Below are 14,912 nucleotides of genomic sequence, written 5' to 3'. Positions count from 1 at the left end.
TCCCAGAAACTGCCAAATTAACCTTGGGAAATAACTTGTTTAAACCCCATATAATGTGGCAGGATTACTGTCCTCCAAGGGGAGCCTTTCTCTAACAGACAGCCAGCTCCTTAAATATTAGGCTCTGCTGTTAGAGGGTTCCATCATCCAGTTCAAAACTTGTTCTCACCTAAACCCATCCACTTTTCTCCCTGAGGAAACGAGGGAACCTGACCATGGTTGTGAACAAGCTGTAATGCAAACCTATGCAGCCAGAGCTGATATCAAGGAAACTCCCCTAGAAAATCCAGACTGGACTCTCTTCACAGATGAGAGCTCTCTCGTAAATCAGGCAGTTCATAAGGCAAAATATGCAGTAGTCACTCTAAATAACATCATTGAAAGTGTGTGTCTCTCTCCAGGCACAAGTGCTCAATTAGCTGAACTGATAGCTCTTACAAGAGCACTTGAATTAAGTAAGGAAATGGTAGCTAACATTTACACTGACTCCAAGTATGCTTTCTTAGTTCTCCATGCTCATGCTGCCATTTGGAAGAAAAGACATCTTCTTACCATTAATGGATCCCCTATAAAATACCATCAGGAAATTAACAGGTTATTGTCATCAGATTTCCCTCCATGAAAGGTAGTACTGATGCACTGTAAGGAACATCAGAAGGAAACAGATGAAATAGCCAAAGGAAACAAGTTAGCTTATCAGGCAGCCAAGTCAGTAGCAAAGAAGCCTCAGGGCATCAAAACACTTGAAGCCCCTCTAATCTGGGAAGGCTTCATAAGAGAAATTAAGCCTCAGCACTCCCTTACAGAAATAGAACAGGCTACTTCTTCCAGGGTACAATTTAAAGCCCTCAGGATGGCTACAGTCAGAGAATGGCAAATTCCACTTGCCAGTTTCCAGCCAACAGAAAGTCCTTAAAATCCTTCACCAAGCTTTTTACTTGGGAAAGGATGAAGCTTATCAGTGTGCCCAGAGATTGTTTTCAGGAGAGAACTTATTAAGAACAGTCAAACAGGTTGTTAATGCTTGTGAAGTCTGTCTTAATAATAATCCCCTCAAGAGATGGCTCCTTCTTCCTCAAACCCAAAGGATAGAAAGCTATTTAGGGGAGGACTGGGAGATAGACTTCACTCAAATGCCAAACACAAAGGGCATCCTATGCCTTCCGGAATGGGTACATACTTTCAATAACTGGGTAGAAGCATTTCCATGCCATACAGAAAAGGCCTCTTAGGTAATAAAAGTGTTAATTAGTAAATTACTTCCCGTTTTGATCTACCTATGTACCTCCGAAGTGACAATTGCCCCTTGTTTAAGCCAGCAGTCACAAAAAGGGTCTCAAATGCACTAGGCATACAATATCATCTCCATTGTGATTGGAGACCCCAGTCCTCAGGAAAGGTAGAGAAGACCAATGATATTATCAAAAGACACCTCAGAAAATTGTCCCAAGAAACTCACCTTCCTTCATTCACTCTTCTTTCCATGCCCTTACTTCATGTTAGAAATACCCCTTTAAAATTAGGTCTGAGCCCTTTTGAGATGCTGTATGGATGGCCTTTCTTTACCAATGATTTTTTTTTAGACCAAGATACTTCTGAATTGGTTAAGCATATGACCTCTTTGGTCACTTTGAAAGGAATTTACTCAACTAGCAAAAGCCAAACCCCAAGAAATAGGATGGCATTTATTTAACCCAGGATGTTTGATATTGGAAAAGGCTCTCCCTTCTATCTCTCTCTCCCTAAACCCAAGCTAGGATGGGCCTTATGCCATTTACCTTTTAATCCCCTCAGCAGTAAAAGTTTAGGTATCAACTCCTGAATACATCACATCTTACTCAAAGCCTGGAAAGCTGAGAGAGCAACCCCTGACAGCCCAGAGGAAGTGAAGAAGTAGGAGATCTTAAGCTGAAAATCATAAAAGATAAGTAAGTTAATAAGGGGTACTTATCCTACTCAGTCCCACTTCTGCCTTACCAGATACTTTCAGTTATTTCTACCTTTTCTCTCGAGATTTGTCACCAGATATTAGAGCTTCTTTTTGACGCATATATGCAGGGAGATTTTAATTATTCATGGGATTGCATTTGTAACTTTTAGACCCCCAAGGGGAAATGTTATATCTTGGCAAGTAAAATTTTAGGTGGAAATTTTCTACTACACCACACTTGCAGGAATTGCTATACACACTCTACTATTTGCATTAGGGTTATACATAATAACACCTTCTAACTGGAATACCAGACAGAGAGTTTCCATTACTGTAGTATTTTGCTTAATTATTATCCTTTTAGCAGGGGTAATGGTCACCAACAAAAAAGAGCATGAAAGTTTTACTATCACTGAGTCTGCTAGAGCTTTTTATTGGGTTTGGTAATATGTCACACCCTAGCTATGCAAAGAAGGTTATAAAGAGAAGAGATTTTATATAAAAAAGGATCCTGTATGGTAAACACCTGTCCTAAAAAGATAATTAGTTGTTTAAAAAGAGGGATATTTAGGACAAGTCAGAAAGTTTAAGCATGTCATAGATGGTATGTGGAAGTTGTGGAATTATTAATAATTGCAGGAGAGATTTAGCCAAGGTTAACACTACAGTTACTCTAGCAACCAAATAACGTATTTCTCCCAATATATTGCAAGTTATAAAAGATGGCCTATACCTGAAATTATTCCCTAATGGCAAGTCAAGGGGGGATTATATGTTTTTCTCAAAGAAAAATATTACTTTTATATCAACACTTCTGGTAAAGTACAGCAACATCTGGTGGAGGCAAACCAGTATTACAGCCCATCGGAATGGCTGACAGGTATCAAACTCTACTGCCATGGTTGTGGCCTATAGTACCCACACTAATAGTGGTAATCTTAATACTTATATTTAAACTAAAATTTCTCTCTTGTTGCATAGAAACAATCAAACTCCAAATGGTGCTGCAGAAAGAACCATGGATAGACATGCATTTCTTCCAAGGACTCTTAGATAGATCCCAGAAGGAGCCCTAGCCACTGTTTCCCACACAACACCCCTTTTCAGTGGGATGTAGCCAGAAAGAGCCAGTAGCATCCAACACCTCTAATAGCAGTTAGAGTTACCACTCCTGATGGGGGGAATGATATAGGAGTTAAAAAGAAATTGATTAGGCAGATAGTGAGGGTAAGAAAGTCTTCTGTAAGGTTTCACTTTTAATGAAAGCAGCCCCAAAGTCATTTATTTTCTAACAAAAAGCAACCTAAAAAATCAAGCTGCAAACATAGATAAGCAAGCTGGAAGCTTTCACAGATGAATGTTGGCAATGGTGCCAATAGAAAAGGAATACCTGGAAGCCAGGTATATTCAACATGGAGGTCCCCTCTTCCCTTTTATTTGTTGCCACATGTGCAGGGAACATGATACCAGCCAGGTAAAGACCGCATTTGCATAATAAAAGATTAGGGTGGTATGGCCAGCCTCTTCATGCACTATCTAAATAGCACACCTGGTCCAACAAATCCACTAATCCCTATGTAAGTTAGACACTGCCTTCTCAAGCCAGTCTGTAAAACTCCATGCACCTCACTGTGGACTGGAAGTCCTACTAAGGAGCTCCTCTCTCTCTGCAGGAGTGAAAGCTATTCTCTTTTCTCTTTCTTTCATCTATTAAACAACCGCTCTTAAACTCATTTCTTGTGTGTTCATATCTTCAATTTCCTTGGCATGAGACAATGAACCTCAGGTATTTCCCTAGACAAACAGCACTGCTTCATTATTAAAAGAGAAGAACGGCTGGGCACCATGGCTCACACCTGTAATCCCAGCACTTTGGGAGGCCGAGGGGGGTGGATCCCTTGAGGTCAGGAGTTCGAAACCAGCCTGGACAACATGGTGAAATCCCATCTCTACTAAAAATACAAAAATTAGCTGGGTATGTTGGTGGGCACCTGTAATCCCAGCTACTCAGGAGGCTGAGACTAGGAGAATCGCTTGAACCCAGGAGGCAGACGTTGCAGTGAGCTGAGATCACGCCGCTGCACTCCAGCCTGAGCAACAGAGTGAGAATCTGTCTCAAAATAAATGAATAAATAAGTAAGAAGAAATAGTTATCTCAAATGCTTAGTTTTTAGCAAACATCTTAGTATAAAAAGCTATATCAACTTGAAATCCAAATCATGTGACTCCATTGCTGTTTGTTCTCAGTGCCTAATTCAACTTGACCACCTTAGATATAGATGCTAATTCTATTAACATTATAATGCAGCCCTAGATTCTTCATTTTCCCAGCTTAGTTAAATTAACTATACAAATTAAGCCAATAGGCTGACCTAAAAATTTGAAGAGACTAAGATGTTTCAAACAACTTAATTAGTGGTAACTAATAGTGACAGATCTCTATGACCACTGATATATTATAAGATTCATACACTGTATGATGCTAAAAATGTTTGGTGAATGAAGGAATGGTGATAAGAGGCAAGGAAAACACATAGATTCTCAATGCTTTACTTAAATTATTTATCAAACAATTTATGTATGTGTTGTTCACGTTCATTGTATATTATTAGGTGTTGTGTCAATGCCTTCAGCATCTATATCTTTAGTTGTGTTGTAGAAATTATTTCTGTGGGCTGGGCATGGTGGCTCACCCAGGAGATAGAGACCATACTAGCCAACATGGTGAAACCCTGTATCTACTAAAAATACAAAAATTACCTGGGTGTGGTGGCTCATGCCTGTAGTCCCAGCTACTTGGGAGGCTGGGGTAGGAGAATTGCTTGCACCCAGGAGGTGGAGGTTGCAGTAAGCCGAGTTTGTGACACTGTACTCCAGCTTAGCAACAGAGCCAGACTCCAAAAAAAAAAGAAATTACTTCTGTGATACAGAGTGTAAGAAACTCCATTGTATGTTTTAAATTAGAATGTTTGTTTTCTGCTAACATTATAAGAATAAAATAATAATCAGCTGGGACCATTTTCAGGGGTTGGCAGCCTATGTACTGCCACATTCCACATTTGGGCCATTGCTTGTTTTGTAAATAAGATTTATTAGAGTACAACCATGTCCATTTTTTTATGCATTGTCTAAATCTGTTTTTGTGCTACAACTACAGAAATGAGTCATTGCCTCAGAAACTATATGGCTTGAAAATTGTAAAATATTATTTACTGTCTGGCTCTTTAAAGAAAAATTTTACCAATCACTGCCATATATTACAACATTAATATTGATTATCTCACACAACAGAGTCAATTTTTAACTCTGCTTTAAAGTACAGTGGTTAACAAAGCAGGCTTTTACCTTATATCACATAATAAATTCTGACTAAGCAGCAAGTGTGCTCTATGACCCTTGTTAAATTGTTATTTTTTAATTTCATTATTTGAAAATTAAGGGAAGAATACTGTAGACTGTTTACTCATAGATTGTTCATAGAACTTAATATACCCATACAAAAGTATTAGCCTAGCACCTACCACTCAGTAGATACTCACTACAAACTAGTTTATAATAAGAAAGTTGAACTCAAATTCAGTCTTCTTTATGAGGCTTTTATGACCCACTCTGGGAATGGTTTGTAATCTTGACTTTTAAGCATGTGGTTGTATTCTAATTATTTCAATTTTTGTAATAATAGCTTGTTATTGAAAGTTTAAGCATTTCAGTGGTATAATCTATGTCCTCAGATAATAAAAATAAATACTCAAACTCTCTACCAAACATAATTAAGGAAAAGAAGACACAGGTCAACTAGTGAAGTTTATCTAGGAAAAATCCAGGAGGATCTTTTATTTTAGTTTCTTAGCAACTGAAAACGTTCTAGTTGGTATTGGATAGTTGAAGTGACATATTTGTTAAGTTCTAGGATAGAATTTTTAAGGAGATAAAAAGGGGGATGGACAACAAATTGGGTTCAAAGAAAAAAAGAAATTTATTGTGTACAATTTCATGTTATTGTTCTCATTTGCATTATAAATATCTATTTAAAAATCCAATATTAATAATATGTTGAAATAAAATAATGCATTTTTAAGTCACTCACAAAAACAAAATATGTTCTAAGCTAGCTTAAAAATGAGCTACTACATAACTATTATTACCTTAATGCTCTGATCAAATTCTTATCATATTAATGATGTAATTATGTAGCAATAAAATTATGGCATGATTAAGTTTCTATAACTTACTCAAAATCTGAAATGTGAGCAATGAAGACAAATATAATATGTTTAGATATATTTCAATATGATATAATACTGAATTTCATGATTAAAATGGTGATATACCCATGAGATAAAATGCATTCTATGAATATTATTTTCTCCAGAACAATATAATTTTATTAGAAGTTTTCCTATTCTAAAGGGAGAGCATACTCCTAATTTATATTTTCAAAAAAAATACACTTTATTTTACAGCACATGTTTGAAACTGTAAATTGAACATATGTGTACAAACAAATACAGTGTGATGGAAAAAGAAAGTCAAATTTCAATTTAGTGAAAAGAAGAATGTAATTTTCTTAAGGCAGTGATGGTAAGCAGTTTGGTGTCACAAATAATATTTTACAACAATCTATCTTAAGCCACATGGCTGTAAATTTAATGCTGTTATTTAAAATGACATAAAAATAAACACAATAGAGTCTATAGCTAATATTTAAAATGGTAAGCCCCTGTTCCAAAACATTAGATTTTTTTATTATTCAAAGTATTTTTTTGCACTCATAATGACAAGGAAATCTTAGTTTTGGTTTCATTATATCCATAACACATATTTCTGGCATTTTATTCTCTGATTTTTCACTTTTAAAAACAGATAAATAGTCACCTGGTCTTATTTACTTACATTAAAACTACCAGATGATACATAGAGTATAGACCAAGAATGCTAAAGAGAAAGAGAAACTTGATTATATTCTCTTTGTGATTATATTCTATCCACATTACAAGATACATAAAATTCAAAAATTTTATTATGTGGATCTATGTTATATCAACTTTAATAAAATGACAAATTTGCACAAATAGTGCCATGGTTGAATGTTTGAATCCAAATTTTACCTCCTAGTTACAGTGCTGGATTTTTTTATCTAGCCAAAGTAACAAAGGGTACTTATAATTTTATTCATGAAAAATTAATGAATACTGAACACATTCTCCAACCATAAAAACAAACAACAGAAAACTATACAACTGGAAAATACTTAAAGCAACTGTTTTCAGGAATTAGATAGCAAACAACACAGAACTGTTGTCTTTGAGTGTAACAATTAGATAAGCTCAAATGTATTAGTCAGTTCTCCATAAGGACAGAACGAATAGGATATATATATATAAATATATATATTTAAATATATATTTAATTTAATAATTTAAACATTTAAATATATATTTAATTAAATAATTTAAACATTTAAATATATATTTAATTAAATAATTTAAACATTTAAATATATATATTTATATATTTTATATATAATGAATAATTTAAATATATATTTATATATTTATATATTTTAGAAATAATTTAAATATATATTTATATATTTATATATTTTAGAAATAATTTAAATATATATTTATATATTTATATATTTTAGAAATAATTTAAATATATATTTATATATTTTAGAAATAATTTAAATATATATTTATATATTTATATATTTTAGAAATAATTTAAATATATATTTATATATTTATATATCTTAGAAATAATTTAAATATATATTTATATATTTATATATTTTAGAAATAATTTAAATATATATTTATATATTTTAGAAATAATTTAAATATATATTTATATATTTATATATTTTAGAAATAATTTAAATATATATTTATATATTTATATATCTTAGAAATAATTTAAATATATATTTATATATTTATATATTTTAGAAATAATTTAAATATATATTTATATATTTTAGAAATAATTTAAATATATATTTATATATTTTATTAATAATTTAAATATTTATTTATATATTTTATTAATAATTTAAATATATATTTATATATTTATATAATATAAATAATTTAAATATACATTTATATATATATTTACATATATTTTATATATATATATATATAAAAGGGAGTTTATTAAGAGGTATTAACTCAAATGATCACAAGGTCCCACGATAGGCCATCTGCAAGCTGAGGAACAAGGAAGCCAGTCCTAGTTCCAAAGCTGAAGAACTTGGAGTCTCATGTTTGAGGGCAGAAAGTATCCAGAATGGAAGAAAGATGTAAGCTAGGAGGCTAATCCAGTCTAATATCTCCACATTTCTCTGCTTGCTTTTTATTCTGGCTGCACTGGCAGCTGATTAGATGGTGCTCACCCAGATTAAGTGTGGATCTGCCTCTCTCAGTCCACTGACTCAAATGTTAATCTCCTTTGGCAACATCCTCACAGACACACCCAGGATCAATACTTTGCATCCTCAATCCAATCAAGTTGACACTCAGTCTTAACCATCAAAAGACCACTCTTTGTCAAGTTGGACCCATACAAGTCTCCTGAGATCATACATAATCTTCAAATAAAAACAGTAAGACCATAATTATGCGTAACATGATACAGCTCTTCTTCATACAACCAGAAATGTACCTATCCCCAATTCAAATGCTATTACATAAAGTTAACAACACTTAAATGCTGATACGCAGTCAATAAATCTTATGTCACATGATAAAGGAAAAAGGAAATAAAATGAAGATATTTCCTTAATACAAGTGTATACATGGCACAAACATGTTTTTTAACAAAAGAAGAAGGAAATACTCATGACAATTACAGTCTTTGTTTCTGAAACTGGTCATGTGGTCATAGCTAGTATTAATGACTACCTTCTTCTCTGTATTCCCTTTGCCATCAGCAAGCACCTCAGGAGGTCGTGGTTTTTTCCTGGTAGAATGACCCAGACTTTCATTCCTGAAGTGTCTGGGTCATTTACAGTCCTGCCTGGATTGGGTTGTTGTAGTTTCTTTTTGATCTTAATCAGAGGGGTTGGTAATACTAAGATATGCCCCAAGAGATCTCCTGTATGCCACACATACTCTTCCTTACCTACATTGTGGAGTAATCAATTTCATCTTGATAGTCTGGGTCAATCACCCCAGCCAACACTTTAACTCTCTTCTTAGCCTGTTTACTTGAAGGTAGGAGGAGTCCAAAGTGTCCGGGTGGCAGTCTTGACTGCCAGTTTAATGGAATCATTGATATGTCTCCTGGTGGCAGTGTTCCTCCCTCTGGAACTAAGAACTCTAGTCCAGCAGAACACAATGTTGTGGGAAAGGGAAGCAAAAATTTTGTTAGTAGATCACTAGGCTTGACAAGGAGTGGTGCCACATCCACTTCCACCCCTTGATTTCTGAACCCATGGATCCTGGCTTTGGGAGAAACAGAGTACCATATATCATACACTGATTTTCCATGATTTCAGTTTTTTTCTCTACAGGAGATAAGACTTTCACTCAGGGCAATCTTAGCAGATTTGAGGCTCAGCATCTGGTTCTGAAGTTGAGAGTTAGAATCCCTGAGTTCATCATTTTTTTCCATCGCTTTGTCCAGTGAACTTAGGAGCAACAAACCAACTTCATTATGTTCCTTGTTTCTCCACATATGGTCAAAGGTATTACATATAGAGTCACTAAACTCCTTGCCTCTCATAAGCAGTGAATCAGGGGTGTCAAATTCATTTATTTTGCATAACTCTCTAAACAGTTCCCACTAAGGACTCTCAGTGTTCTCCATACTATTAGAAGTAGAGTCCTTAGTATTTTGGGGTCTAATCATATTAAGTAGCCAACTCCAGAAACCCTAAAAGCAACAAAAGAACTTCATCCTTAATATTCTGTTCCTCTAGTACTACTCCTGGTACCAAAATCTGTATTAGTCAGGACTGTCTAGAGGGACAGAACTAATGGACTATATCCATATATATAGAGATAGATGATGATAGATAGATAGATAGACAGACAGATATGAGAGTTTATTAAGAAGTGTTAACTCACATGATCACAAGTTTCCACAATAGGCTGTCTTCAAGCTAAGGAGCAAGGAAGCCAGTCCAACTTCCAAAGCTGAGGAACTTGGAGTCCCATGTTCAAGGGCAGGAAGTATCCAGCACCAGAGAACGATATAGGCTGGGAGGCTAAGCCAGTCTAATCTCTCCACATTCCTCTGCCTGCTTTCTATTCTGCCTGCAGGGACTGAGGATTGGTCTGCCTCCCCTAGTCTACTGACTCAAATGTTAATCTTCTTTGCCAACACCCTCACAGACAAACCCAGGAACAATACTTTGCATCCTTCAATCCAATCAAGTTGACACTTAGTATTAACCATTGCATCAAATAAACACTAGCTTTCTACTGGGGAGGTGGGGGCATTCCAGAGTGGCATAGAGAAGTAAACCCCAAACAGAGAGTAGGAGTCCAGAAAAGCGGAGAAAACAGAGACTAGTGATTGGGCCTAGAAGGCAGATCAACTATAGGAGGCAAAAACATGGAGATGTGCCACAAAAACAAAAGTCCTTCTTTTCTAAAGGAAGATAAGAGAATTCAGAATCTCAACAATGTAGCATTGTGACAGTTAATTTTATGTGTCATTTGAGTGGGTCACAGGGGTGGCCACATTAAATATTGTTTCTACATGCGTCTGTGAGGGTGTTTCTGGGCGAGATTAGCATTTGAATTGGTAAACTTAGTATATTGCCTTCACCATCGAAGTTGGGCCTCATCACATCCACTGAGGGCTTGAATAGAACAAAAGGCAGAGTAAGAAGGACTCCTTTTCTTTACCTTCACTGTTGAGCTGGGACATCTCATCTCAGCTCTATGCTCTCAAACTGGAATTTACATTATTGACTCCTCTAGTTTTTAGGCCTTTGGACTGAGACTGAACTATACCACTGGCTTTCCTGGATGTCCAGCTGTCAGATTGCAGATTGTGGCACTTATTCTCCATAATCATGCGAGCTAATTCCATATTTATATAATTATATATGTGTATAACATATATATATGTGTGTGTGTGTATATATATATATAGAATTAGCTCTCATGATACATGATATATATATATATGCATATATTAATCACCCACATGTATTCACATACACACACACAACACAAACATATCTCGGAGACATTGTGGCTTCTATTTCATATCACCATAATAAAGCAAATATTGCAGTAAAGCCAAACACACAAATTGTTTAGTCTCCTAGAGTATATAAAAGTTATATTTATACTATATTATAGATTCTGAAGTGTGCAATAGCATTATGTTTAAAAGAAAAATATATATACTTCAATTATTTAAAAACTTTATTGCTAAAAAATGCTAGCGATCATTTGAGCCTTCAGCAAGTGTAAACTGTTTGCTGGTGGCGTAACCTGCCTTGATGTTGATAGTTGCTGAATGATCAGGATAGTGGTTGCAAAAGATTGGGGTGGCTGTGAATTTTTTTTAAAATGTAAGACAACAGTGAAGTTTGCTGCATCAGTTAACTCTTCCTTTCATAAATGGTTCTTCTGCAGCATTCTGTGCTGTTGCATAGCATTTTACAAGCAGTAGAACTTCTCTCAAAATAGAAGTTAATCTTTCATATACTGCCACTACTTTATTTACTAAGTTTGTGGAATATTTCAAATCCTTCGTTATCATTTCAACAATGTCTACGGTGTCTTCATCAGGAGTAAATTCTTCTCAAAAAATCACTTTATTCGCTCATTCATAAAAAGCAACTCCTCATTCATTGAAGTTTTATCATGAGATGGCAGCAATTCAGTCACATCTTCAGGCTCAACTTCTAATTCTATTTCTCTTGCCATTTCTACCACATCTGCAGTGAGTTCCTCCACTGAAGTTGTGAACCCCTCAAAGTCATTCATGAGGGTTGGAATCAACTTATTCCAAACTCCTGTTAATGCTGATATTTTGACCTCCACTCATGAATCATAAATGTTCTAGAATGGTATCTCGAATAGCAAATTCTCCCCAGAAGGTTTTCCATTCCCTTTGACCAGATTTATCAGTGAGATCACTAACTTTATAAAATATATTTCTTAAATAATAAGACTTGAGGGTCAAAATTACTATTTGACATATGGGATGGAGAATGGATGTTGTATTTGTGGGCATGAGGTTAACGTTAATCACCTTTCACATCTCCGTCAGAGCTTTTGAATGGCCAAGTACATTGTCAATGAACAGTAATATTGTGATAGGAATCTTTTTTTTCTGAGCAGTAGTTCTCAAACAGGGCTTCAAATACTCAGTAAATCACGCTATAAACGTAGGTGCTGTAATCCAGACTTTGTTGTTCCATTCATAAAGCACAGGCAGAGTAGATTTAGGATAATTATTGAGAGCCCTAGGATTGTCAGGATGGTAAATGAGTATTGGTTTCAACTTAAAGTCACCAACGGCATGAGGCCCTAATCAGAAATTCAACCTTTCTTTTGAAGTTTTAAAGCCAGGCATTGACTTCTCCTCTCTAGCTAGGAACGTTCTAAATGGCATCTTCTTCCAGTAGGAAGTTCTTTTGTCTAAAAGGAAAATCTGTTATTAAGTGAAGCCATCTCCATCAATGATCTTAGCTATATCTTCTGGATAACTTGCTGCAGCTTCTAAATTCACACTTCCTGCTTCACCTTGCACTTTCATGTTATGGAGATGGCTTCTTAAACCTATGAACCACCTATACTACCTTCAGACTTTTCTTCTGCAGCCTCCTCAACTCCCTGAGATGTCACAGAATTTAAGAAGTGAGGGCTTTGCTCTGGATTAGGCTCTGGCTTAATCGAATGCTGTGGCTGGTTTGATCTATCCAGACCACTAAAACTTTCTCCATACCAACTATAAGCCTGTTTTGCTTTCTTATCATGTGTGTATTCTCTGGAGTAGCACTTTTAATTTCCTTTTGTATCCACAGCACGGCCAGCTCTTTGACACAAAAGGGCTAGCTCTTGACCAATCTCAGCTTTAAATATGCTTTCCTCACTACACTTAATAATTTCTATCTTTTGATTTAATGTAAGAGATGTGAAACTTTTTCTTTCATTTGGACAGTTAGAGGCCATTGTAGGGTTATTAATTGACCTAATTTTAAGATTGTCATGTTTCAGGGAATAGGTTGGCCCAATGAAAGGCAGAGAGATAGGGGAACAGTTGATCAATGGAGAAGTCAGCACACAAACAACACTTATCCATTAAGTTCACCATCTCATATGACAGTGGTACAATCACTCCCAAACAATGGTAATAGTAACATCAAAAATCACTGATCTCAGATAACCATAATTGACATAACAGAAATAAAAAAGTTTGAAGTATTATGAGAATTACCAAAATATAACATAGATACATGAAGTTAGCACAATGTGTTGGAAAAATAGCTCCTATAGTCTTGTTCAATGCATGGTTCCCACAAGCCTTCGGTTTGTAAACAGAATCTCCTAGTGGTTCTGTTTTTCTGGAGAACACTGACTGACAAAAGTGTCTAGTACACCAAGCATAAAACCAGTGTGTAATGTATACAAAGAAAGGCAAAAAATATATACAAGAAAAAGGAAACAATCGCAGAGACAAAATGAGAAGTGATACAGATGTTAGAATTAATAAGTAACTTAAACTAGGCATTATAAATAGGTTTATTGATATAACAGAAAAAAAGAATATTATGAGTAAAGAAAAGGATAATATTAACACAGAAATAAAAAGTTTAAAAATGTATCAAGTGGACAATGTAAGTGGGAAAAAATAAAATATCTGAAACAAAAATACCATTAGATGCACTTAGAAAAGATTAAAAGCTGCATGAGAAATGATCAATTGCATAGGAAATAGAAAATTTGCAAACAAAAGCATAAAGATGTAATAAATCTTTTAAAAAGAGAAATAAATAAGAAAAATAAAGTAAATGAACAGCGTCTCAATGGCTCATGGGATTATATTAAGACGTCTAACACTTTGTAATTGGAGTCCTGAAAGAAAATTAGAGAAGTAAAATATTGGTACAGAAAAATATTGAATGAAATAATGGCTCCAAAGTTTTCAAACTTGTTTAGAAATGTTAACATACAGATCTAATAAGGTAACTGAACCCAAGGCTGTACAAACATAAATATATATAATCCACACCAAGGCATATCAGACCCAAATTATAATAAGCAAAAGAGAGAGAAAAAAAGAAAAAAAAAACACCAATAAGAGAAAAAAGAAACCCTGTAAAGAGGGGAATGATAAATATGACTGTTGAATTTTCATCAGAAACAATGGAAGTAAGAAAACAACCAATGCCACCTCTTAGCTTCTGGTCGGGAGGACATCAACCTAGAAGTTTACATGAAACCAAAATATCAGTTTTCAAAAAGTGAAAAATAAAGATGCATTATGATAAACAAAATATGAATGAATTTAAAATGAGAGAAAAAAGTTGAAAAACTGTTCATATTAAAGGGTGTGATACTAGAGAGAAAATAAGATTTACTGAAAGAATAATATTTACTAGAAATGATACATAGGTAAATATAATGCAGTTTTTTTCTCATCTTAATTTCTTTAAATGTAAATCAACATTGAAGAAAACATAAGAATGTACTTCTAGGTGTATAATGTGTGTGAAATTAATGTATCTAAGAGTTCCCTTTTCCCCACATTCTCACCAGTGTCTATTTTGTCTTTTAAAGAATAGCCATTCTAACTGGGGTAAGATGATATCTCACTGCAGTTTTGATTTGCATTTCTCTAATGATAAGTGATGTTGAGCATTTTTTCTCATGTCATTCTTGAACATTTGAATGCCTTTTTTGGATAAATGTTTACTCATATCCTTTGTCCACTTTTTAATGGAATTATTTGTGTTTTTTTTTACTGTTGAGTTATTTTGTATAGTCTGAATATTAAAAGTCTATATGTA

Source organism: Homo sapiens, chromosome 12, assembly GCF_000001405.40.
Source record: "Homo sapiens chromosome 12, GRCh38.p14 Primary Assembly".
NCBI lineage: Eukaryota > Metazoa > Chordata > Mammalia > Primates > Hominidae > Homo > Homo sapiens.
Note: the sequence above shows the minus strand (reverse complement) of the source record.